The following is a 27,045-nucleotide window of genomic DNA, read 5'->3' on the forward strand; positions in this document are numbered from 1 at the left end:
ATATCGTCCAACCCTCCCACTCCTAACCATACACTCTAGCGGGCTTTCTTGCCTATGTGCCCAGGAGACAGGCACACTGATGTTTATGGCAAAAACTGGAATCAGCCACATATACATCAATAGGAAATATACATCAATAGGAAATTGTGGCATAAAATGTAAACCTTCAGCAGTGAAAATGAATGAATGACAGCCTCCCACACCACAGATAACTCCTGTACGTAATGTGCATCATGGGAAAATAAACGCAGTAGGAATTTGCTGTACAGGAAGCTTAAAAACCAGCAAAAGTAAATAATTTTTTTTTGGATATATATATGTACATATATATATATATACTTATTGTGCAAATCTTTAAAGAAATACAAAGGAATAAGGATCACAAGACTCAGGATGGAGTCTCTCTCTCTGGGGGATGTGACTGGGCAGCAGCCCAGGGGAGCTTTACAGGTTTGTGTTTTACACCAGTGTTGGGCATCTTTTTAGTTACATGATTGTAATTTGTTAAACAGAGTTTTCAAATTAAAATATACCTGGTATTTATAAAAATGAAAGGAAAAGAATACCAAAGTTCATTGCAAGGATCCTTAACAAGAACTACTTACATTGAAAGAAAACCACAGAGAAATGTAAGCAGCCATGTGACAGAGAGGACCAGGATGTGATGAAAATGGCCTTGGTTAATAATAGTTCATTTGATCCTTAGCTCACTGGCATCTCTCTGGATTTTCAAGTATACAATGTTCAATCTGATGTGCAAGGTAATTCCTTCTTGCAAAGGATTTGGTGTTACATTTTACCACACATACAACTGAATTAAACTTTCACAGAAATGGAAATACACATCACTGATCAAAATAAATGAAACAAGAAAAGAGTAGAAAGGAACAACCAGTGATGGAATAGCAAATATGAATGGAAAGCAAAATAAGACAGCTAAAAAAAAAAAAAAGAAAGCTTCAGAAGCACATAATAGCAGTGCTATTTAGAACTGTAGTAGTGTCCAAATCACTTCTACCACATCTCATGCAATACCACACCCAAAAATGTTAAGTTTACAATAGAATGCCCCTGAGCCATTTTTGGAAAAAATTTGATTCTCAATTCGAGTTAAGCATTTTGGGCTACTGCATCAAACCAAAGTTACTGGCATTATGCTAAGCTAGATGTGTTGACTGAAGTATGAGATTCCCATTTTTGTAAATGAGAAGCAATCTGATTATGCAATTTTTTCTAAGTGAAAGCAAGTTTATTAGAGAAGTAAAGAAACAAAAGAATGGCTACTCCATAGACAGAGCAGTGTGTGTGTATTTTTTTTTAAGTGTAGGCAAATGTTTTCTGAAGATGATATGTCAATAAGAAAATTGGCACTTGGGGCATACTTCCACTAAATTTGAGACATCTTAGACAAAACAAAGACTTATTTTCAAGGCATGATTCTTATGGCACTGAAGTCTTGGAACTATTTGATCTAGTTACTCTATGTTCTCAACTGTGTTAACTTATTGAAAAACATTGTTATTAAAGGTATTTACAAGAGAAACGCAGAGATACTGTTGTTTCTCCTTTCTCTGTCTCAAACTGTTTTCTCTGCAGCACCCAAGGCTCTGTCATGTCTCAAACATTTAATCATTAATTTAAAAAGAGAAGCTTATCACAGAATTAGAAAAAAAAATTTGAAAATTCATATGGATCCAAAAAAGAGGTTGTGTAGCCAGGAGAATGCTAAGCAAAAAGAATAAAGCTGGAGGCATCAGGCTATCCTACTTAAAACTATACTATAAGGCTAAAGTAACCAAAACAGCATGGTACTGGTAGAAAAACAAGCATATAGACCAACAGAACAGAATAGAAAACTCAGAAATAAGACCTCACATCTACAACCATGTGATCTTCAACAAACCTGACAAAAACAAGCAATGGGGAAAGGAAACGCTATTTAATAAATGGTGCTGGGAAAACTGGCTAGCCATATGCAGAAAATTGAAACTGGACCCCTTCTTTACACCTTACACAAAAATTAACTCAAGATGGATTAAAGACTTAAATGTAAAACCCAAAACTAGAAAAACCCTGAAAGAAAATCTAGGCAATACCATTCAGGACATAGGCATGGGCAAAGATTTTATGATGAAATTGCCAAAAGCAACTGCCACAGAAGCAAAAATTGACAAATGGGATCTAATTAAACAAAAGAGCTTCTGCACAGGAAAAGAAACTATCATCAGAGCGAAAAGGAGACAACCTACAGAATGGGAGAAAATTTATGCAATCTATCGATCTGACAAAGGTCTAATATTCATAATCTAAAAAGAACTTAAGCAAATTTACATGAAAAAAACAACTTCATTAAGAAGTGGACAAAGCACATGAACAGACACTTCTCAAAAGAAGACATACAGGTGGCCAAAAAACATATTTTAAAAAGCTCAATATCACTGATCGTTAGAGAAATGCAAATCAAAACCACAATAAGATACCATCTCATGCCAGTCAGAATGGCAATTATTAAAAAGTTAAGAAACAACAGATTCTGGCGAGGTTGTAAAGAAATAGGAATGTTTTTACACTGTTGGTGGAAATGTAAATTGGTTCAACCAATGAGGAAGGCAGTGTGGTGATTCCTCAAAGATTTAGAACCAGAAATACCATTTGACCCAGCAATCCCATTGCAGGGTATATACCCAAAGGAATATAAATCATTCTATTATAAAGATATGTGCATGTGTTTGTTCATTGCAGCACAATTCACAACAGCAAAGACATGGAATCAACCCAAATGCCCACCAATGAGGGACTAGATAAAGAAAATATGATACATATATGCCATGGAATATTATGCAGCCATAAAAAGGAATGAGATCAAATCCTTTGCAGGGATATGGATGAAGCTGGAAGCCATTATCCTCAGCAAACTAACACAGGAACAGAAAACCAAACACCACATGTTCTCACTTATAATTGTGAGCTGAACAATGAGAACACATGGACACAGGGAGAGGAACAACACACACTGCGGCCTGTTGGGGGAGGGCGGTGGTGGGGGGAGCATTAGGAAAAATGGCTAATGCATGCAGGGGTTAATACCTAGGTTATGGGTTGATTGGTGCAGCAAACTGCCGTGGAACCCGTTTACCTGTGTAACAAACCTGCACATCCTGCATATGTACCCTGGAACTTAACATTAAACTAAATTAAATTAAAGGACAAGATTAAAATGTTAAGGAAAAATAATTAGATTAAAAGCCTTTAACTTAAAAATCCTGAAATAATAGTTTGAATTTTGCTTTTAACATATATGCAAATCCTTTAATACTGCTCCCTTCCAGAGGTGCAGCTGAATTCCCTCTCTTGAGTGTGGCTTGGACTTAATGATGCACTTCTGATATGGCCTGGTTCTGTGTTCCCACCCAAATCACATCTTCAATTGTCATGCGAATTGTAATCCCCAGTATTGAAGGAGGGACCTCATGGGAGGTGATTGGATCATGCTGTTCTAATGATAGTGAGTGAATTCTCATGAGATCTGATGGTTTTATAAGGGGCTTTTCCCCGCTTCGCTCTGCATTTCTCTCTCCTGCCACCATGTGAAGAAGGACGGGTTTTCTTCCACTTCTGCCATGATTGTAAGTTTCCTGGGGTGGCCTCCTCAGCCATGCAGAACTGGGAGTCAGTTAAACCTCTTTCCTTTATAAATTACCCAGTCTCAGGTATTTCTTTATAGCAGTGTGAGAACAGACTAATACAACTTCTGATGGAGCAATGCCGACATAACAGCTTGTGACTCTGGGTGTAGAACCTAAAACTCCCTGCAGCTTCCACCTTCTCTCTCTCTGTCTCTGGGATCATGAGCTCTGGGGAAAGTCAGCTGCTGTGCCATGAGCAGCCCTGCAGCAAGGTCCATCTGGCTAAGAACTGAGGCCTTCTGGGACCCAATTACAATGAACTAGGCCTTTTCCAACAGCCATGTGACTGATCCATGTTTCATGTGAATCCTCAGCCCCAGTGAAGCCCTCAGATGATGCAGGCCTAGACTGACAACTGGACTGCAACCTTGTGAGAGGCCCTTAGCAAGAAGCACTCAGGGAAACTTCTCCTGGATTCCTGACAACTGGAAACTGTGGGAGATGATCAATATTTGTTATTTTGAAATGGTACATTTTACATAATTTGTTATGCAATAGTAAATAACTAATACATTTTCACAAGAGAGGATGTATTATTACATGTTAATTTGCATTTGCTCTAAATTTATCATCATCATTATTATTATTTTTGAGACAGGGTCTCACTCTGTCACCCAGGCTGGAGTGCAGTGGCATGATCACCATGCACTGCAGTGTAGACCTCCTGGGCTCAAGGGACCCTCTGACCTCAGCCTCTTGAGTAGCTGGGAGTACAATCATGAACCACTGTGCCTGGCTAATTTTCTAATTTTTTGTAGAGATGGGGGTTTCCCCATGTTGCCCAGGCTGATCTTGAACTTCTGGAGTCAACAAATCTGCCTTCCTCTGCCTTCCACAATGCTAGGATTGCAGGTGTGAGCCACCAAATCTGGCCTAAATTAATTAAAAGATATAAATATGTAACTTAGTTTTAAAAGGTAAGGAGAATTTTCATGGCTGAAAAGGATGTATTTTATTACCGTTCACAATGATTACTTTACTTGAACTTCAATTTGCAACTGTGTCCCAAGTGAACACAAAAAGAAGATCCAGCCCTTGCTAGGCTGATTCTATGATGGCCTCAACAACAAGCTCCTGGTCATTCACCTTCCCCCCATTATTCAACCAACTCTAATATAGGTGCTGCTGTGAATGGATTTAGCAGATATAATTAAGGGCCTCAATTAGTTGACTTTAGGCTGGGTTTATGCTGCTTGGACTGTCCTAATCAGGTGAGTCCTTGAAAGGATTGGGTTCTTCCTGAGCATAGAGATTCACAGTGTGAGAGGGATTCAGCATGAGGGGTTTCCTCCACTGTGGGCTTTGAAAATGAAGGGGCTGTACAGGGAAGAACACTGGTGGGCATCAGGAATTGAGCGCAGCCCTCCCTGTTCTCTACATTGACAGCCAGCAAGGAACAGGGACCTCAGTCTTAGAACTGCAAGAAACTGCATTCTGCCACCTCTGTATAAGCCTGAAGGAGGATTCAAAATGAAAACACAGCTTTGGGAAGCCCGGAACAGAGATTCCATCCACATCATGCCCAGATTTCTGACTAAGGTACTATAAACAGATAAATGGGTGTTGTTTGGCCAGGCGTGGTAATGCACACCTGCAATCCTAACATCTGAGGAGCTGACACAGGAGGATCACTTGCATCCAGGAATTTGAGACCAGCCAAGATCAAACAGTGAGACACTCATCTCTACAATTTCTTTTTAATTAGCTGGGCGTGGTGGCACTTGTCTGCAGTCCTATCTATTCTGAAGACTGAGGCAGGAAGATCCCTTGAGCCCAGGAGTTTGAGGCTGCAGTGAGCCATGATCATGTGACTGCACTTCACCCTGGATGACAGAGGGAGACTCTGTCTCTAAAAACAAATAAATCAACAATAATTGGGTGTTGTTTAAAGTCAATGTTTGTGATAATTTGTTATGCAATCTTATAAAATTCATACACAGGCTCAACAGACTCGGAATGAATTGATATGCACACTAGTTACATAAAATAAAATATTTCTTAATTTTTCAGTGTTTTACATTTTATAACTTTCTGTGATGCAATTTAATACATTCATATTTCATTCATTCAGTCAACAAAAATTTAGTGCCTAAGATGAACCAGGTATGCCCTCATATGCTCACGTGCCTGACATTCTAGAAGCTTCACAAGACCGAGGTGGAGCCACTGGAGTGTTTTAGGTGAGGAAATGACACACTCTGACTCACAGGAGCAGGACCACTGTGGAGAGAACAGTCACGTAGCAGGTAATGGGACAATGCTAGAGCCACAATTTAGAAGTGACAGGGTGGTGGGGACTAAGGGGAGAGGAGGGCCTGAGGGATGAAAGGGACAGAGGGAAGGGCTGGAGAAGCAGGAGGTTAGGAAAAGGAGCAGAGGGAAGGAATTGGAAAGCAGTAGAATTCTTAGGTTTAAACACATTGTTTTATAGATTTTTATTACATCCATCTACAGAGCCTCGCTCAGTGTTCTTTGCAGTTGGCCTTTAATACCTAATGTAGGACTGCCTAAAAACTAATGTTTTTTATGTTAATAAGGTTTAAAAAACACTTAGTGTTCCTTCTTTGCAGTTGGCCTTTAATACTATATTTGGGACTGCCTAGAAACTAATTTTTTTTAATTAATCAGGTTTTAAAAATACTAAGTGTTCCTATAAGATATACACACCACTTAGACGTGAATACTTCCTAAAAACAGGCAGCACATGAGCACTGCTGAGGGGCATTGTGACTGCATTGAACACTTGCAACTGTGAGGTGAATAAAGTCTGTACTGGCTCCCGGTTGCAACATATAGTAACGCAGTGTGCTACTTTATATTGAGGAGATGTCTTGGACTCACCCAGTAACTCAGGGCTGTGGAATGAAGGTAAATGTAAAAAACAAGCGGGAGTCACAGATACATTGTCTGCGAAAGTCAAACTTAGTAGCTTTGTGAGTCCTGTTGTAATGCTTTCAGACACATTTATGTATCAAGGGGCCAAAGTTACATTTTTTTACCGATTAGATACCTGATCATTTAGGGGTTGCCAAGATTCTGCTACCCACTGTAGTTAATAAACAAAGAGAAAACTTGTCTCTATGCTGTCTCATGTACTCAGGCACAACTTTTCCGGATTTAAAGAAAAAAAAAACAAAAACCTGTCTCTACGCCTCCATTCCCAGGGCGAGCTCCCTCTCTGGCATCGAGCTCCCTCTCTGGCGGCGAGCTCCCTCTCTGGCGGCGAGCTCCCTCTCTGTCACCAAGCTCCCTGGGGTGAGTTTTTTTCTAGAAGAGTTCAGGGAAATAGGTAAGGAGTGGGAGGCAGGGAGTCCAGTTCTGGGACGGGGATTCCGGGATGAAAAATGAAGAGGGACGGGGCCCATGACGAGGGTTTCTCCCTGGTTTCTCAGACAGCTCTTGGGCCAAGACTCAGGGAGACATTGAGACAGAGCGCTTGGCACAGGAGGAGCGGGGTCAGGGCGAAGTCCTATGGCCCCAGGCGTGGCTCTCAGGGTTTCAGGCCCCGAAGGCGATGTATTGATTGGGGAGGCCCAGGGTTGGGGATTCCCCATCTCCGCAGTTTCTCTTCTCCCTCTCCCAACTTATGTAGGGTCCTTCTTCCTGGACACTCAGGATGTGGACTCAGTTCTCACCCCCATTTGGTGTCGGGTTTCTAGCGAAGCCAATCGGCGTCGCTGGGGTCCCTGTTCCAGAAGTCCCCGCGAACCCATTGGGACTCAGATTCTCCCCAGACGCCGAGGATGGGGTCATGGCGTCCCGAACCCTCCTCCTGCTGCTCTTGGGGGCCCTGGCCCTGACCGAGACCTGGGCGGGTGAGTGCGGGATCCGGAGGGAAATGGCCTCTGCGGGGAGGAGGTAGGGGCCCGCGCACTGGGGCGCAGGACCCGGGGAGCAGCGCAAGGAGGAGGGTCGGACGGGTCTCAGCCCCTCCTCGCCCCCAGGTACCCACTCCATAAGGTATTTCAGCACCGCCGTGTCCCGGCCGGGTCGCGGGGAGCCCCGGTACATCGCAGTGGGCTACGTGGACGACACGCAGTTCGTGCGGTTCGACAGCGACGCGGCGACTCCGAGGATGTAGCCGCAGTCGCCGTGGTTGGAGCAGGAGGGACCGGAGTATTGGGACCGGAGCACACGGAACATCAGGCCCGCGCACAGACTGACAAGAGTGAACCTGCCCATGCCGCGCCGCTACTACCACCAGAGCTAGGCCGGTGAATGACCCCGGCCTGGGGCGAAGGTCACGACCCCTCCTCATCCCCCACGGACGTCCCGGGTCCCCCCCGCGAGTCTCCGGCTCCAAGATCCACCCCGAGGCTGCGGGACCCGCCAGATCCTCGACCCGGGAGAGGCCCAGGCGCCTTTACCAGGTTTCATTTTCCGTTTAGGCCAAAATCCCCGCGGGTTGGTCGGGGCGGGGGCGGGGCTCGGTGGGCGGGGCTGACCGCGGGGGCGGGGCCAGGGTCTAACACCCTCCAGATAATGTATGGCTGCGACTTGGGGCTGGAAGGGCGCCTCCTCCGCGGGTATGAACAGCACGCCAACGATGGCAAGGATTACATAGCCCGGAACTAGGACCTGCGCTCCTGGACCGCGGCGGACATGGCGGCTCAGATCACCAAGCGCAAGTGGGAGGCAGAAGAATTTGCAGAGCAGATCAGGGCCTACCTGGAGGGCACGTGCGTGGAGAGGCTCGCAGACACCTGGAGAACGGGAAGGAGACGCTGCAGCTCACGGGTACCAGGGAACACAAGACGCCTCCCTGATCGCCTGTAGATCTCCTGGGCTGGCTTCCCACAAAGAGAGAAGGAAAATGGGACCAACACTAGAATGTCGTCCTCTCTCTGGTCCTGAGGGAGAGGAATCCTCCTGGGTTTCCAGATCCTGTACAAGAGAGTGACTCTGAGGGTCTGCCCTGCTCTCTGATACAATTAAGGGATGAAATCTCTGAGGAAATGAAGGGAAGACAATCCCTGGAATACTGATGAGGGGTTCCCTTTGACACCAGCAGCAGCCTTGGGCCCCGTTACTTTTCCCCTCAGGCCTTGTTCTCTGCTTTACACTCAATGTGTGTGGGGGTCTGAGTCCAGCTCTTCTGAGTCCCTCAGCCTCCACTCAGGTCAGGACCAGAAGTCACTGTTCCCTCCTCAGGGACTGGAATTTTCCACGGAATTCGGAGATTATCCCAGATACCTGTGTCCAGGTTGGTGTCTGGGTTCTGTGCTCCCTTCCCCACCCCAGGTGTCCTGTCCATTCTCAGGATGGCCACATGCGTGCTGCTGGAGTGTCTCATGAGAGATGCAAAGTGCCTGAATTTTCTGACACTTCCTGTTAGACCTCTCCCCCAGACACATATGATCCACCATTCCGTCTCTGACTATAAGGCCACCCTGAGGTGCTGGGCCCTGGGCTTCTACCCTGTGGAGATCACACTGGCCTGGCAGCAGGATGGAGAGGACCAGACTCGGGACATGGAGCTTCTAGAGACCAGGCCTGCAGGGGATGGAACCTTCCAGAAGTGGGCAGCTGTGGTGGTGCCTTCTGGAGAGGAACAGAGATACCCGTGCCATGTGCAGCATGAGGGGTTGCCCAAGCCCCTCACCCTGAGATGGGGTAAGGCAGGAGATGAGTGGAGGGGGGGTCATGTCTCTTAGGAAAGCAGGAGCCTCTCTGGAGAACTTCAGCAGGGTCGGTGCTGGGGGCTGAGGGTCAGGGACGCTCACCTTCCCCTTTTTTCCCAGAGCAGTCTTCTCAGCCCACCATCCCCATCGTGGGTATCGTTGCTGGCCTGGTTCTCCTTGGAGCTGTAGTCACTGGAGCTGTGGTTTCTGCTGTGATGTGCAGGAAGAAGAACTCAGGTAAGGAATGGATGAGGAGTGGGGTCTGAGATTTCTTGTCCCACTGAGGGTTTCAAGCCCCAGTTAGAAGTGTGTCCTGCCTGGTTACTGGGAAGCACCATCCACACTCATGGGCCTACCCAGCCTGGGCCCTGTGTGCCAGCACTTACTCTTTTGTAAAGCACCTGTGACAATGAAGGACAGATTTATCACCTTGATGATTATGATGATGGGGACCTGATCCCAGCAGTCACAAGTCACAGGGGAAGGTCCCTGCTGAGGACAGACCTCAGGAGGGCAGTTGGTCCAGGACCCACACCTGCTTTCCTCATGTTTCCTGATCCTGTCCTAGATCAGCAGTTACACTTTCAGGAAACTTCTCTGGGATCAAAGGCTAGGGGGTTTGTTTAGGGCCGTATGGCCCTGACTCCTTTCTGGCCTCTCATAGGACATTTTCTTCCCACAGATAGAGTGAGCTACTCTGAAGCTGCAAGTAAGTATGAAGTGGGCTGATCCCTGATCCTTGGGATATTGTGGTCGGGAGCCCATGGGGGAGCTCACCCAACCCCAGATTCCTCCTCTAGCCGCATCTCCTCTGGGCTCTGACCAAGTCCTGTTTTTGTTCTACCCCAGGCAGCGACCATGCGCAGGGTTCTGATGTGTCTCTCACGGCTTGTAAAGGTGAGACACTGGGGGACCTGATGTGGGGGGGTGTTGGGGGCAATAGTGGACGCAGCTGTGCTATGGGGTTTCTTTGAATTGGATGTATTGAGCATGTGATGGGCTGTTTAAAGTGTCACCCCTCACTGTGACGGATATGAATTTGTTCATGAATATTTTATTTTATAGTGTGAGACAGCTGCCTTGTGTGGGACTGAGAGGCAAGATTTGTTCACGCCTTCCCTTTGTGACTTCAAAAACCCTGACTCTCTTTCTGCAAAGGCACCTGAATGTGCCTGTGTTCCTGTAGGCATAATATGAGGAGGTGGGGAGACCAACCCACCCCCATGTCCACCATGACCCTCTTCCCTCATGCTGACCTGTGTTCCGTCTCCAATAATTAATCATTCCTGCTCCATAGAGGTGAGGCTGAGATGTCTCCATCTCTGTCTCAACTTTATGTGCACTGAGCTGTAACTTCTTACTTCCCTATTAAAATTAGAATCTGAGTATAAATTTACTTTTTCAAATTCTTGCCATGAGAGGTTGATGGGTTAATTAAAGGAGAAGATTCCTAAAATTTGAGAGACAAAATAAATGGAAGACATGAGAACCTTCCAGAGTCCACATGTTTCTTATGCTGATTTGTTGCATGAGAGGAGAGTAGATGGGGCTGTGCCCAGTGGGTGCTCAGGCCACCGTGCGCTTTATGTGGTCACTGCTCAGCTGGGTCATCTTTGCTGCTCTGTTGTCCTTGGCTGTATGATCCGTCCCTACGGGGCTTAGCGGGTTTTCTCCCCGTGTGCGGAGATGAGAGATTGTAATAAATAAAAGCACAAGACAAAGAGATAAAGAGAAAACAGCTGGGCCCGGGGGACCACTGCCATCAAGATGCGGAGACCGGTAGTGGCCCCGAACAGCTGGGCTCGCTGATATTTATTGCATACAAGACAAAGGGCAGGGTAAGGAAGGTGAATCTTCTAAATGATTGACAAGGTGAAGCAAGTCACGTGATTACAGGATAGGGGGCCCTTCCCTTTTAGGTAGCATATGTCACCATTTTCTTTTCTGCACTTAAGATCAAAGACTTTAAGACTTTCACTATTTCTTCTACCGTTATCTACTACAAAATTCAAAGAGGAACCAGGAGTACAGGAGGAGCATGAAAGTGGACAAGGAGCATGACCACTGAAGCACAGCACCACAGGGAGGGGTTTAGGCCTCTGGATGACTGCAGGTAGCTCTGGATAATATCCAGCCTTCTACAAGAAGCTGGTGGAGCAGAGTGTTCCCCGACTCCTCCAAGGAAGGGAGACTCCCTTTCATGGTCTGCTAAGTAACAGGTGCCTTCCTAGACACTGGTGTTACCACTTGACCAAGGAGCCCTCAAGTGGCCCTTATGCGGGCGTGACAGAAGGCTCATATCTTGCCTTCTAGGTCACTTCTCACAATGTCCCTTCAGCACCTGACCCTATACCCGCCGGTTATTCCTAGGTTATCTTAGTAATGCAACAAAGAGTAATATTAAAAGCTAATGATTAATAATGTTTATAATAATGATTGATAATTGTTCATGATCATCTCTATATCTAATTTGTATTATGACTATTCTTATTCTAACTATTTTCTTTATTATACTAAAACAGTTTGTGCTTTCAGTCTCTTGCCTCGGCACCTGAGTAATCCTCCACCCACACTTGGCCCTTCAGTAGAACCTTGTCCCACCATGACCTGTGATCACAGGGACTTGGATGTCACCTACGGCAGTCCCTGCATACCAGGGTCCTTGTGGTATCAAGAGACAAATTTTCAGATCGTTCAAGCTCTTGCCGTCTTCCCAGGGCTCTTTCCTCATTGTATTTTCCATCTTTTCTGCAATCTTTTTAAAGGAACCAGATTCTGAAATTTGCCAAGAGGCAGGGTCCCATAGTTTCTCATCATAGGTAACTTTCTGTTGGAACTCCTCTTCTGCACTCCTACTCTTCTTCCTGCCCTGAGTTGTAGTAATCCTAGTGCTGGCTCCAATAGAAACTCATCAATTTATAAAGCAGAGTCTAGTTTAGATTCATATGTGGTTGGAAAATTGGACCCATAAGCCTAGGGTTATCTTTCCTGAAGAGAAAAATATGGTTGTGTGCTGCAGTGTGCAGTAGAGTTGGTGTGGGGGGAGGGAGGGAGGGAGGGAGGACACACAAGCAGCCCTGGTGAGAAAAGATCTGGTGGCACTGATGTCAGTGTGAGATGATGTTGTTCTGTAGCTGCCACAAAAATAAAGCATTTGTCCTGAGGCTACATTAATAAAGATATTGCCTCTAGAATAGAGTGGTTCTCTATGATCATTCCTTCAACTGACATTTGTTTCTGCTAGGTATATGACTGTTTTTGCATTTAGAAAGCATCATTAAAGTAAAAACAGAAAAATTTCGGGCCTTATGGTGTATATGTTCTAGATGCAAGCTTGTCCAACCCGCAGCTCGTGGGCTGCATGTGGCCCAGGACAATTTTGAATGTGAGGACTTTTTTGCTTATCTGTGGTGCACCTGAGTCCCGGAGTGAGTGCACCCACCTCCCTCAGGGTCAGGAGTGAATGCTTTAGGAACCCTCCTTTTCAGTGACCTGAAAAAGATAGAGGGCACACTTACTGTGATAACCCAGAGTATCAGTCAAGGGGGCTTGACCTTCAAGGAGTTATGGGAAAGCTTAATAAAGGGTGGTGTCCCAGGGTCAGAAAAGATGGGCAGACAGCAAGAGCACTGCTTGATATCTATGATAAGCATGTAAGAATTGAGGAGCCCTCTCCCTCTCCCTCTCCCTCTCCCTCTCCCTCTCCCTCTGCCTCTCCCTCTCCCTCTGCCACGGTCTCCCTCTCCCTCTCTTTCCACGGTCTCCCTCTGATGCCGAGCCGAAGCTGGACTGTACTGCTGCCATCTCGGCTCACTGCAACCTCCCTGCCCGATTCTCCTGCCTCAGCCTGCCGAGTGCCTGCGATTGCAGGCGCGCGCCGCCACGCCTGACTGGTTTTCATATTTTTTTGGTGGAGAAGGGGTTTCGCTGTGTTGGCCGGGCTGGTCTCCAGCTCCTAACCGCGAGCGATCCGCCAGCCTCGGCCTCCCGAGGTGCCAGGATTGCAGACGGAGTCTCGTTCACTCAGTGCTCAATGGTGCCCAGGCTGGAGTGCAGTGGCGTGATCTCGGCTCACTACAACCTCCACCTCCCAGCCGCCTGCCTTGGCCTCCCAAAGTGCCAAGATTGCAGCCTCTGCCCGGCCGCCACCCTGTCTGGGATGTGAGGAGCCCCTCTGCCTGACTGCCCAGTCTGGAAAGTGAGGAGCATCTCTGCCTGGCCGCCATCCCATCTAGGAAGTGAGGAGCGTTTCTGCCCGGCCGCCCATCATCTGAGATGTGGGGAGTGCCTCTGCCCCGCCGCCCCATCTGGGATGTGAGGAGCGCCTCTGCCCGGCCGTGACCCCGTCTGGGAGGTGAGGAGCGTCTCTGCCCGGCCGCCCTGTCTGAGAAGTGAGGAGCCCCTCCGCCCGGCAGCCACCCCGTCTGGGAAGTGAGGAGCGTCTCCGCCCGGCAGCCACCCACTCCGGGAGGGAGTTGGGGGGTCAGCCCCCCGCCCAGCCAGCCTCCCCGTCCGGGAGGTGAGGGGCGCCTCTGCCCGGCCGCCCCTACTGGGAAGTGAGGAGCCCCTCTGCCCGGCCAGCCGCCCCATCCGGGAGGGAGGTTGGGGGGTCAGCCCCCCGCCCGGCCAGCCTCCCCGTCCGGGAGGTGAGGGGCGCCTCTGCCCGGCCGCCCCTACTGGGAAGTGAGGAGCCCCTCTGCCCGGCCAGCCGCCCCGTCCGGGAGGGAGGTGGGGGGGGTCAGCCCCCCGCCTGGCCAGCCGCTCCATCCGGGAGGGAGGTGGGGGGGTCAGCCCCCCGCCCAGCCAGCCACCCCGTCCGGGAGGTGAGGGGCACCTCTGCCCGGCTGCCCCTACTGGGAAGTGAGGAGCCCCTCTGCCCGGCCACCACCCCGTCTGGGAGGTGTACCCAACAGCTCATTGAGAACGGGCCATGATGACAATGGCGGTTTAGTGGAATAGAAAGGGGGGAAAGGTGGGGAAAAGATTGAGAAATCGGATGGTTGCCCTGTCTGTGTAGAAAGAAGTAGACATGGGAGACTTTTCATTTTGTTCTGTACTAAGGAAAATTCTTCTGCCTTGGGATCCTGTTGATCTGTGACCTTACCCCCAACCCTGTGCTCTCTGAAACATGTGCTGTGTCCACTCAGGGTTAAATGGATTAAGGGCGGTGCAAGATGTGCTTTGTTAAACAGATGCTTGAAGGCAGCATGCTCGTTAAGAGTCATCACCACTCCCTAATCTCAAGTACCCAGGGACACAAACACTGCGGAAGGCCGCAGGGTCCTCTGCCTAGGAAAACCAGAGACCTTTGTTCACTTGTTTATCTGCTGACCTTCCCTCCACTATTGTCCCATGACCCTGCCAAATCCCCCTCTGTGAGAAACACCCAAGAATGATCAATAAAAAAAAAAAAAAGAATTGAGGAGCAAGCTTCACATTCAGAATCCAGTGGCTGAGGAAGTATCCATATCCCTAAGAGAAAGAACCTTGGGACACCATGACTGTTACATGCTGGGACAATTCCATCAGCCCTTCTGCAAAGGAGCCTATAGCCATTTAATCAGGAGATGGGATAAGTGTTAACATTGGGTGTGAGCTAACATTGCTGCCCAGATTCCCACAGCACCATTATGTCCCTATCACAGTGGGGCTTACAGAGGCCAGGGAATAAACCTGGACAAATTATGCCCCACGGTGGAATCACTGGGTCCATAAATCCTGTCCTGGTTATCTCCCCATTCTCTGTAAAAAGGATTCTCTGTAAAAAGATTACATCGCCCTAAACCAGGACCTGAGCTCTTGGACTGCGGCGGCCATGGCGGCTCAGATTACCCAGCGCAAGTGGGAGGCGGCCCATGAGGCGGAGCAGCAGACAGCCTACCTGGAGGGCAGGTGCGTGGAGTGGCTCCGCAGATACCTGGAGAACAGGAAGGAGACACTGCAGCACACCTGTACCAGGGACCACGGGCGCCTCCCTGATCGCCTGTAATCTCCCGGGCTGGCCTCCCACAAGGATGGGAGACAGATGGGACCAACACTAGAATATCACCCTCCCTCTGGTCCTGAGGGAGAAGAATCCTCCTCAGTTTCCAGATCCTGTACCAGAGAGTGACTCTGAGGTTCCACACTGCTCTCTGACACAATTAAGGGATAAAATCTCTGAGGCAATGACGGGAAGACGCAATTAAGGGATAAAATCTCTGAGGGAATGACGGGAACACGATCCCTCATTTAGTGATCCCAAGTCACTAAATTTGGGAGTAGTTTGTTACACAGCAATGGATAACTAATGAAGCCCTCTTACATTTCCATTATTCTCTAGAGGTTAACTACATCTGTTTTATTTTCTCCTATTTTGATAATATTAGCCACACATAGGTTTCTAGTTTCTCAACACCTATTCTTTTCTTTATTTTAGTTTCTTTTCTCCTTTGTTCCATCCTTTTTTTTTCTTTTTTCTTTTCTTTTCTTTTTTTTTTTTTTTTTTTTTGAGACAAAGTCTCGTTCTGTCGCCCAGGCTGGAGTGCAGTGGCTCGATCTCGGCTCACTGCAAGCTCTGCCTCCCAGGTTCATGCCATTCTCCTGCCTCAGCTTTCCAAGTAGCTGGGACTACAGGCACCTGCCACCATGCCCGGCTAATTTTTTGTATTTTTAGTAGAGACAGGGTTTCACCATGTTAGCCAGGATGGTCTCTATCTCCTGACCTCGTGATCTGCCTGCCTCAGCCTCCCAAAGACTGGGATTACAGGCATGAGCCACTGTGCCTGGCCTCTTCCTTCCCTTTCTCCTTCCTTCTAGCCCTCCCTCCATCTCTTTCTTCTCTATTTCCATTCAAACTATCGCCTTCCCTCCTTCTTTCTCCCTTTCCTTCCCCTCCCCTTCCTTCTTTTCTTCTTTTGCTTTTTCCTCCATTCCTCCTTCTTTCTCTCTCTTCCTCCATTTTTTCCTTTTTATTATGAAATTTTCCTAATATATAAAATAACTCTATGTGATTGGGTTGTAAGTAAGCATTTTCTGAATCTATATGTCAAAAATATAATGTCATGTATATGAGAAACAAGTAAACAACAGGAAGTTATTAACAGAGTCTGAATAAAAATGCCTGCTATAATTCTACAGCCAAGACAGTGGCTTTTAACTCAATTCCTTCAACACAGTGTTTTCAGAACACATCATCAACATCAAGTATTACACATTTATTGTAAAAGTTTAAGTAGCCACAATCACTTTGGAATTTGTATTATCATTATCTAGTATGGTTAAAGTCCATACAACGTATCATCCAACCAACCCATTCCTAATCATCCACTCTGGGGGGCTTTCTTGCCTATGTGCACAGGAGACATGCACACTAATATTTATGGCAAAAACTGGAATCAGCCACATATACATCAATAGGAAACTAGTGAAATTGTGGTATAACCATATGTAAGCCTTCAGCAGTAAAAATGAATGAATGACAGTCTCCCACACCACAGATAACTCCTACACATAATGTGCATCATGGGAAAATAAAGGCAGTAGGAACTTGCTGTACAGGAAGCTTAAAAACCAGCAAAACAAACTGATATTTGTTTTGGGGATATATATATATACACACATACATATATATATGTGTGTGTGTATATATACACATACATATACACATATATACATATATGTGTATATATACACATATATACATATATGGATACATATATGTGTATATATACACATATATACACATATATGTATATATATACACATATATACACATATATGTGTATATATATACTTATTGCACAAATCTTTGAAGAAATACAAAGGAATAAGTATCACAAGACTCAGCATGGAGTCTTCTGCTGAGACCAGCTCGGTCAGGGAGATCCTAACCCAGCGGTGCTAGAGGAATTAAAGACACACACACAGAAATATAGAGGTGTGAAGTGGGAAATCAGGGGTCTCACAGCCTTCAGAGCTGAGCCCCAAACAGAGATTTACCCACATATTTATTACAGTCATTAGCATTGTTTCTATAAATATTAAATTAGTTAAAATATCCCTTATGGGAAACGAAGGGATGGGCCGAATTAAAGGAATAGGTTGGGCTAGTTAACTGCAGCAGGAACATGCCCTTAAGACACAGATCACTCATGCTATTGTTTGTGGCTTAAGAATGCCTTTAAGTGGTTTTCCACCCTGGGCGGGCCAGGTGTCCCTTGCCCTCATTCCCGTAAACCCACAACCTTCCAGCTTGGGTGCTAGGGCCATTATGAACATGTTATGGTGCTGCAGAAATTTTGTTTATGGCCAGTCTCGGGGCCAGTTTATGACCAGATTTTGGGGGACTTGCTCCCAACAGTCTCCTTCTGGAGGATGACTGGGTAGCAGCCCAGGGTAGTTTTACAGTTTTGTGTTTTACACCAGTGCTGGGCCCCCTGGTAGTTACTTGATTATAATTCCTTAAACAGAGTTTTCCAAATTAAAATATACCTGTTTTTTATAGAAATGAAAAAGAAAAGAATTTCAAAGTTCATTGCAAAGATTCTTAACAAGAACTACTTACATTGGAAGAAAACCACAGAGAATTGTAAGGAGCTATGTGACAGAGAGGACCAGGATGCCATGAAAACGGCCTTGGCTACATATAGGTCATTCGATCCTTGGCTCACTGGCATCTCTCTAGATTTTCAATAATACAATGTTCAATATGCTATGCAAGGTAATTTCATCTTGCAAAGATTCTACGTTACATTTTACCACACATACAACTGAATTAAACTTTTACAGAATTGGAAATGCACATCACTGATCAAAATAAATGAAACATGAAAAGAGTAGGAAGGAATACCCAGTGATGGAATAGCAAATATGAATGGAAACAGAATAGGACTGCTAAAAAGAAAAAAAATTCAGAAGCACATAATAGCAGTGCTATTTAGAATCATAGTGGTGTCCAAATCACTTCTATCACATCTCATTCAATACCACAACAAAAGATGTTAAGTGTGTTATAGAATGCCCATTGGATAGCCAGTTTTTGAAAATAACTTGTCTCTCAATTCAAGCTAACCATTTCGGGCTACAGCATCAAGCCAAAGTTATTGGCATCATGCTAAGCTAGATGTGTTAACTGAAGTATGAGATTCTCATTTTTGTAAATGAAAAGCAATCAGATTAGGCAATTTTTTTCTGCACAGCAAAAGAAACTATCATCAATCAGAGTGAACAGACATGCTACAGAATGGGAGAAAAATTTTGCCATCTGTTCATCTGACAAAAGTCTAGTATTCAGAATCCACAAAGAACTTAAGCAAATTTACATGAAAAAAAACTTCATTAAAAAGTGGACAAAGAACATGAACAGACACTTCTAAAGAAGACATACATGTGGCCAACAAAAATATGAAAAAGAAAGCTCCCATCACTGATCATTAGAGAAATGCAAATCAAAACGACAAATGAGATACCATTTTATGCCAGTCAGAATGGCAATTATTAAATAGTCAAGAAACAACAGATGCTGGCAAGGTTGCGGAGAAATAGGAATGCTTTTACACTGTTGGTGGAAAAGTAAATGGTTAATCCATTGTGGAAGACAGTGACAGTGTGGCGATTCCTCAAAGATTTAGAACCAGAAATACCATTTGACCCAGCAATCCCATTGCAGGGTATATACCCAAAGGAATATAAATCATTCTATTATAAAGACATATGCATGTTTACATTCATGGCAGCACTATTCACAATAGCAAAGACATGGAATCAACCCAAATGCCCATCAATGATGGTCTGGATAAAGAAAATATGGTACATATACACCATGGAATATTATGCAGCCATAAAAAGGAAGGAGATCAAGTCCTTTGCAGGGATATGGATGAAGCTGGAAGCCATTATCCTCAGCAAACTCACACAGGAACAGAAAACCAAACACCACATGTTCTCATATATAACTGGGAACTGAGCAATGAGAACACATGGACACAGGGAGAGGAACAACACACACTGGGGCCTGTTGGGGGAGGGTGGTGATGGGAGGATCATTAGCAAAAATAGCTAATGCATGCCAGGGTTAATACCTAGGTGATGAGTTGACAGGTGCAGCAAACCAACATGGCACACATTTACCTATGTAACAAACCTGCACATCCTACACATGTACCCTGGAACTTAAAAAAAAATTAAATTAAAAGACAAGCTTAAAGAGTTAATGAAAAATAATTAGATACAAGAAGACTTTGATTTTCAGAAACCTGAAACAATAGTTATAATTTTGCTTTTAACATATATTCAAATCCTTTGATACTGTTCCTTTCTAGAGGTGCAGCTTAATTCCCTCTCTTGAGTGTGGCTTGGACTTAATGAGGCACTTCTGAAATGGCCTGGTTCTGTGTTCCCACCCAAATCTCATCTTGAGTTGTTATGCAAATTGTAATCCCTACCTATTGGGGGAGGGACCTCATGGGAGTTGATTGGATCATGGGGACGGTGCCCCCATGCTGTTCTCCTGATGCTGAGGGAATTCTCATGAGATCTGATGGTTTTATAAGGGGCTTTTCCCTGCTTCATTGTGCATTTCTCTCTCCTGTCACCACATGAAGAAGGACGGGTTTGCTTCCACTTCTGCCATGACTGTAAGTTTCCTGGGGCAGCCTCCTCAGTCATGCAGAACTGTGGGTCAATTAAACCTCTTTCCTTTATAAATTACCCAGTCTCAGGTATTTCTTTATAGCAGTGTGAGAATGGACTAATACAACTTCTAACTTATAGAATAGTGCCAACATAACAGTTTGTGACTCTGGGTGTAGAACATAAAACTAACTGCGGCTTCCACCTTCTCTCTCTCTGAATCTGGGATCATGAGCTCTGGGGGAAGCCAGCCGCTGTGCCATAAGCAGCCCTGCAGGAAGGTCCACATGACTGAGAACTGAGGCCTTCTGGGAACAGACAACAAGGAACCAGGCCTTTTCCAACAGCCATGTGACTGATCCATGTTTCTTGTGAATTCCCAGCCCCAGCGAAGCCCTCAGATGCTGCGGCCCCTGGCTGACAACTGGAGTGCAACCTTGTGAGAGGCCCTGAGCAGGAAGCACTCAGGGAAACCTCTCCTGGATTCCTGACGATTGGAAACTGTGGGAGATGAGAAACATTTGTTGTTTCGAGCTAAGTTTTACGTAATTTGTTATGCAACAGTAAATAATATATTTTCACAAGAGAGGATGTATTATTACACATCAAATTGCATTTGCTCTAAATGTGTCATCATCATCATTATTATTTTTGAGACAGGGTCTTGCTCTGTCACCCAGGCTGGAATGCAGTGGCATGATCACCATGCACTGCAGTGTCGAACGCCTGGGGTCAAGGGACTCTCTGACCTCAGCCTCCTGAGTAGCTGCGACTACCATCATGAACTACCATGCCTGGCTAATTTTCTAATTTTTTGTATAGATGGAGGTTTTGCCCAGGCTGATCTTGAACTTCTGGAGTCAACAAATCTCCATTCCTCTGCCTTCCACAGTGCTAGGATGACAGATGTGAGCCACCACACCTGGCCTAAATTAATTATAAGATATTAAACATGTAACTTAGTTTTAAAAAGTAAGGACAATTTCCATGGCTGAAGAGGATGTATTTTATGACCATTCACAATGATCACGTTACTTGAACTTCACTTTCCAACTGTGTCCCAATTAAACACAAAAGGAAGATCCAACCCTTGCTAGGCTGATTCTATGATGGCCTCAACAAGCAGCTCCTGGTCATTCACCTTCCTCCAGTTATTCAACCAACTCTAATGTAGGTGCTGCTGTGAAGGGATTTAGCAGATATAATTAAGGGTCTCAATTAGTTGACTTTATGCTGGGTTTATCCTGCTTGGACTGTCCTAATCAGGTGAGTCCTTGAAAGGACTGGGTTCTTCATGAGCATAGAGACTTACAGTGTGAAAGGGACTCAGCATGAGGGGTTTCCTCCACCATGGGCTTTGAAAAGGAAGGGGCTATGGGCCGGGCGCGGTGGCTCACGCCTGTAATCCCGACACTTTGGGAGGCCGAGGCGGGCGGATCATGAGGTCAGGAGGTCGAGACAATCCTGGCTAACAAGGTGAAACCCTGTCTCTACTAAGAAAAAAAAAATTAGAGCATAGTGGTGGGCGCCTGTAGTCCCAGCTACTTGGGACTGAGACAGGAGAATGGTGTGAACCCAGGAGGCGGAGCTTGTAGTGAGCAGAGATCATTGGGCCACTGTACCCCAGCCTGGGCTACAGAGCCAGACTCCGTCTCAAAAAAAAAAAAAAAAAGAAAAATTAAGGGGCTGTGTAGGAAAGAACGCTGGTGAGCACCGGGAATTGAGCCCCTCCCAGTTCTCTACATTGACAGCTAGCCAGGAACAGGGACCTCAGTCTTACAACTGCAAGAAACTGCATTCTGCCACCTCTGTATAAACCCGAAGGAGGATTCAAAATGAAAACACAGCTTTTGGAAGCCCAGAATGGAGATTCTATCCACATCTTGCCCAGATTTCTGACCAAGGAACTATAAGCAGATAAATGTGTGTTGTTTTGCCAGGCATGGTAGTGTGCGAATGAATTGATGAATTGATATACACACTAGTTGCATAAAATAAAATCTTTCTGAACTTTTTCAGTGTTTTACAGTTTATAATTATCTGTGATGCAATTTAATACACTCATATTTCATTCATTAAGTCAACAAAAATTAACTTAGTCCCTACAATGAACGAGGTATCCCCTCATATGCTCAAGTGCCTGACACTCCAGAAGCTTCACAAGACCGAGGTGGAGACACTGGAGTGTTTTAAGTGGAGAAATGACACACTCCGACTCACAGGAGCAGGGCCACTGTGAAAAGAACAGTTACGTAGCAGGTCATGGGACAGTGCTAGTGTCACAATTCATGAGTGACAGTGTGGTGGGAACTAAGGGGAGAGGAGGGCCTGAAGGATGAGAAGGATGGAGGGAAGGGCTGGAGAAGCAGGAGGTGAGGAAAAGGAGCAGAGGAAAGAATTTGAAAGCAGCAGAATTCTTAGGTTTAAAGACATTGTTTTATGGATTTTAATACATCAATCTACAGAGCCTAGGAGGGTGTCCTTGGCAGTTGTCTTTTAATACCTCATGTGGGTCTGCCTAAAAACTATTTTTTATGTTAATCAGGTTTAAAAATTACTAAGTGTTCCTATAAAATATACACAACACTTAGAAGTGGATACTTCCTAAAAACAGGCAGTGCATGAGCACTAGTGAGGGGCATTGTGACTGCCTTGAACAGTTGCAACTTTGAGGTGAATAAAGCCTGTAATGGCTTCTGGTTGCAACATATAGGAACACAGTGGCTACTTTGTATTGAGGAGATGTCGTGGACTCACACAGAAACTCAGAGCTAAGGAATGATGGCAAATTTAAAGTAAGACAAGCAGGAGTCACAGATACATTGTCTGGGAAAGTGCAACTTAGTAGCTTTGTGAGTCCTGTTGTAATGCTTTTGGACACATTTATACATTAAGGGGCCAAAGTCACATTTTTTACCTATTAGATTCCTGATCATTCAGGGGTTACCAAGATTCTGCTACCCACTGTAGTTAATAAACAAAGAGCAAATTGGTCTCTATTCTGTCTCATGCACTCAGGCACAACTTTTCCGGATTAAAAACAAAAACAACAACAACAAAAATCTACACCTCCATTCCCAGATCAAGCTTACTCTCTGGCACCAAACTCCATGGGGTGATTTTTCTTCTAGAAGAGTCCAGGTGGACAGGTAAGGAGTGGGAGTCAGGGAGTCCAGTTCAGGGACAGAGATAATGGGATGAAAAGTGAAAGGAGAGGGACGGGGCCCATGCCGAGGGTTTCTCCCTTGTTTCTCAGACAGCTCCTGGGCCAAGACTCAGGGAGACATTGAGACAGAGCGCTTCGCACAGGAGCAGAGGGGTCAGGGCGAAGTCCCAGGGCCCCAGGCGTGGCTCTCAGAGTCTCAGGCCCCGAAGGCGGTGTATGGATTGGGGAGTCCCAGCCTTGGGGATTCCCCAACTCCGCAGTTTCTTTTCTCCCTCTCCCAACCTACGTAGGGTCCTTCATCCTGGATACTCACGACGCGGACCCAGTTCTCACTCCCATTGGGTGTCGGGTTTCCAGAGAAGCCAATCAGTGTCGTCGCGGTCGCTGTTCTAAAGCCCGCACGCACCCACCGGGACTCAGATTCTCCCCAGACGCCGAGGATGGCCGTCATGGCGCCCCGAACCCTCCTCCTGCTACTCTCGGGGGCCCTGGCCCTGACCCAGACCTGGGCGGGTGAGTGCGGGGTCGGGAGGGAAACCGCCTCTGCGGGGAGAAGCAAGGGGCCCTCCTGGCGGGGGCGCAGGACCGGGGGAGCCGCGCCGGGACGAGGGTCGGGCAGGTCTCAGCCACTGCTCGCCCCCAGGCTCCCACTCCATGAGGTATTTCTTCACATCCGTGTCCCGGCCCGGCCGCGGGGAGCCCCGCTTCATCGCCGTGGGCTACGTGGACGACACGCAGTTCGTGCGGTTCGACAGCGACGCCGCGAGCCAGAGGATGGAGCCGCGGGCGCCGTGGATAGAGCAGGAGGGGCCGGAGTATTGGGACCAGGAGACACGGAATGTGAAGGCCCAGTCACAGACTGACCGAGTGGACCTGGGGACCCTGCGCGGCTACTACAACCAGAGCGAGGCCGGTGAGTGACCCCGGCCGGGGGCGCAGGTCAGGACCCCTCATCCCCCACGGACGGGCCAGGTCGCCCACAGTCTCCGGGTCCGAGATCCACCCCGAAGCCGCGGGACCCCGAGACCCTTGCCCCGGGAGAGGCCCAGGCGCCTTTACCCGGTTTCATTTTCAGTTTAGGCCAAAAATCCCCCCGGGTTGGTCGGGGCTGGGCGGGGCTCGGGGGACTGGGCTGACCGCGGGGTCGGGGCCAGGTTCTCACACCATCCAGATAATGTATGGCTGCGACGTGGGGTCGGACGGGCGCTTCCTCCGCGGGTACCGGCAGGACGCCTACGACGGCAAGGATTACATCGCCCTGAACGAGGACCTGCGCTCTTGGACCGCGGCGGACATGGCGGCTCAGATCACCAAGCGCAAGTGGGAGGCGGCCCATGAGGCGGAGCAGTTGAGAGCCTACCTGGATGGCACGTGCGTGGAGTGGCTCCGCAGATACCTGGAGAACGGGAAGGAGACGCTGCAGCGCACGGGTACCAGGGGCCACGGGGCGCCTCCCTGATCGCCTGTAGATCTCCCGGGCTGGCCTCCCACAAGGAGGGGAGACAATTGGGACCAACACTAGAATATCACCCTCCCTCTGGTCCTGAGGGAGAGGAATCCTCCTGGGTTCCAGATCCTGTACCAGAGAGTGACTCTGAGGTTCCGCCCTGCTCTCTGACACAATTAAGGGATAAAATCTCTGAAGGAGTGACGGGAAGACGATCCCTCGAATACTGATGAGTGGTTCCCTTTGACACCGGCAGCAGCCTTGGGCCCGTGACTTTTCCTCTCAGGCCTTGTTCTCTGCTTCACACTCAATGTGTGTGGGGGTCTGAGTCCAGCACTTCTGAGTCCCTCAGCCTCCACTCAGGTCAGGACCAGAAGTCGCTGTTCCCTTCTCAGGGAATAGAAGATTATCCCAGGTGCCTGTGTCCAGGCTGGTGTCTGGGTTCTGTGCTCTCTTCCCCATCCCGGGTGTCCTGTCCATTCTCAAGATGGCCACATGCGTGCTGGTGGAGTGTCCCATGACAGATGCAAAATGCCTGAATTTTCTGACTCTTCCCGTCAGACCCCCCCAAGACACATATGACCCACCACCCCATCTCTGACCATGAGGCCACCCTGAGGTGCTGGGCCCTGGGCTTCTACCCTGCGGAGATCACACTGACCTGGCAGCGGGATGGGGAGGACCAGACCCAGGACACGGAGCTCGTGGAGACCAGGCCTGCAGGGGATGGAACCTTCCAGAAGTGGGCGGCTGTGGTGGTGCCTTCTGGAGAGGAGCAGAGATACACCTGCCATGTGCAGCATGAGGGTCTGCCCAAGCCCCTCACCCTGAGATGGGGTAAGGAGGGAGATGGGGGTGTCATGTCTCTTAGGGAAAGCAGGAGCCTCTCTGGAGACCTTTAGCAGGGTCAGGGCCCCTCACCTTCCCCTCTTTTCCCAGAGCTGTCTTCCCAGCCCACCATCCCCATCGTGGGCATCATTGCTGGCCTGGTTCTCCTTGGAGCTGTGATCACTGGAGCTGTGGTCGCTGCCGTGATGTGGAGGAGGAAGAGCTCAGGTGGAGAAGGGGTGAAGGGTGGGGTCTGAGATTTCTTGTCTCACTGAGGGTTCCAAGCCCCAGCTAGAAATGTGCCCTGTCTCATTACTGGGAAGCACCGTCCACAATCATGGGCCTACCCAGTCTGGGCCCTGTGTGCCAGCACTTACTCTTTTGTAAAGCACCTGTTAAAATGAAGGACAGATTTATCACCTTGATTACGGCGGTGATGGGACCTGATCCCAGCAGTCACAAGTCACAGGGGAAGGTCCCTGAGGACAGACCTCAGGAGGGCTATTGGTCCAGGACCCACACCTGCTTTCTTCATGTTTCCTGATCCCGCCCTGGGTCTGCAGTCACACATTTCTGGAAACTTCTCTGGGGTCCAAGACTAGGAGGTTCCTCTAGGACCTTAAGGCCCTGGCTCCTTTCTGGTATCTCACAGGACATTTTCTTCTCACAGATAGAAAAGGAGGGAGTTACACTCAGGCTGCAAGTAAGTATGAAGGAGGCTGATGCCTGAGGTCCTTGGGATATTGTGTTTGGGAGCCCATGGGGGAGCCCACCCACCTCACAATTCCTCCTCTAGCCACATCTTCTGTGGGATCTGACCAGGTTCTGTTTTTGTTCTACCCCAGGCAGTGACAGTGCCCAGGGCTCTGATGTGTCCCTCACAGCTTGTAAAGGTGAGAGCTTGGAGGACCTAATGTGTGTTGGGTGTTGGGCGGAACAGTGGACACAGCTGTGCTATGGGGTTTCTTTGCATTGGATGTATTGAGCATGCGATGGGCTGTTTAAGGTGTGACCCCTCACTGTGATGGATATGAATTTGTTCATGAATATTTTTTTCTATAGTGTGAGACAGCTGCCTTGTGTGGGACTGAGAGGCAAGAGTTGTTCCTGCCCTTCCCTTTGTGACTTGAAGAACCCTGACTTTGTTTCTGCAAAGGCACCTGCATGTGTCTGTGTTCGTGTAGGCATAATGTGAGGAGGTGGGGAGACCACCCCACCCCCATGTCCACCATGACCCTCTTCCCACGCTGACCTGTGCTCCCTCCCCAATCATCTTTCCTGTTCCAGAGAGGTGGGGCTGAGGTGTCTCCATCTCTGTCTCAACTTCATGGTGCACTGAGCTGTAACTTCTTCCTTCCCTATTAAAATTAGAACCTTAGTATAAATTTACTTTCTCAAATTCTTGCCATGAGAGGTTGATGAGTTAATTAAAGGAGAAGATTCCTAAAATTTGAGAGACAAAATAAATGGAAGACATGAGAACCTTCCAGAGTCCACGTGTTTCTTGTGCTGATTTGTTGCAGGGGAGGAGAGTAGATGGGGCTGTGCCCAGTTTCTGTTCTGGCCACCATGGGCTTTATGTGGTCACAGCTCACCTGGGTCATCTTTGCTGCTCCATTGTCCTTGGCCCTTCAGTAGAACCTTGTCCCACCAAGACCTGTGATCACAGGGAGTTGGATGTCACCT

At 47.5% G+C, this 27,045-nt stretch overlaps 1 protein-coding gene, 2 long non-coding RNA genes and 3 pseudogenes across 3 annotated transcripts; 3 read left to right on the top strand and 3 right to left on the bottom strand.

The window, feature by feature from the left end:
• Positions 1 to 5,562: 5,562 nt before the first annotated feature.
• Positions 5,563 to 8,186, bottom strand: HCG4B (HLA complex group 4B). Its single transcript, NR_001317.3, has one exon. It is a non-coding gene; the product is annotated as an HLA complex group 4B (long non-coding RNA).
• On the top strand, positions 7,630 to 10,796 carry HLA-K (major histocompatibility complex, class I, K (pseudogene); annotated as a pseudogene).
• On the bottom strand, positions 9,169 to 26,564 carry LOC124901298 (uncharacterized). Its single transcript, XR_007059541.1, has 3 exons — positions 25,752 to 26,564; positions 9,410 to 9,708; positions 9,169 to 9,227 (listed from the first exon to the last, which is right to left on the bottom strand). It is a non-coding gene; the product is annotated as an uncharacterized LOC124901298 (long non-coding RNA).
• Positions 14,735 to 15,851, top strand: HLA-U (major histocompatibility complex, class I, U (pseudogene); annotated as a pseudogene).
• On the bottom strand, positions 21,883 to 22,772 carry HCG4P5 (HLA complex group 4 pseudogene 5; annotated as a pseudogene).
• On the top strand, positions 23,503 to 26,841 carry HLA-A (major histocompatibility complex, class I, A). Its single transcript, NM_002116.8, has 8 exons — positions 23,503 to 23,597; positions 23,728 to 23,997; positions 24,239 to 24,514; positions 25,093 to 25,368; positions 25,471 to 25,587; positions 26,030 to 26,062; positions 26,205 to 26,252; positions 26,422 to 26,841. Exons 1-8 carry the CDS (start codon positions 23,525 to 23,527, stop codon positions 26,424 to 26,426), a joined length of 1,098 nt encoding a protein of 365 aa, NP_002107.3. The 5' UTR covers positions 23,503 to 23,524; the 3' UTR covers positions 26,427 to 26,841.

Source organism: Homo sapiens, chromosome 6, assembly GCF_000001405.40.
Source record: "Homo sapiens chromosome 6, GRCh38.p14 Primary Assembly".
Lineage (NCBI taxonomy): Eukaryota > Metazoa > Chordata > Mammalia > Primates > Hominidae > Homo > Homo sapiens.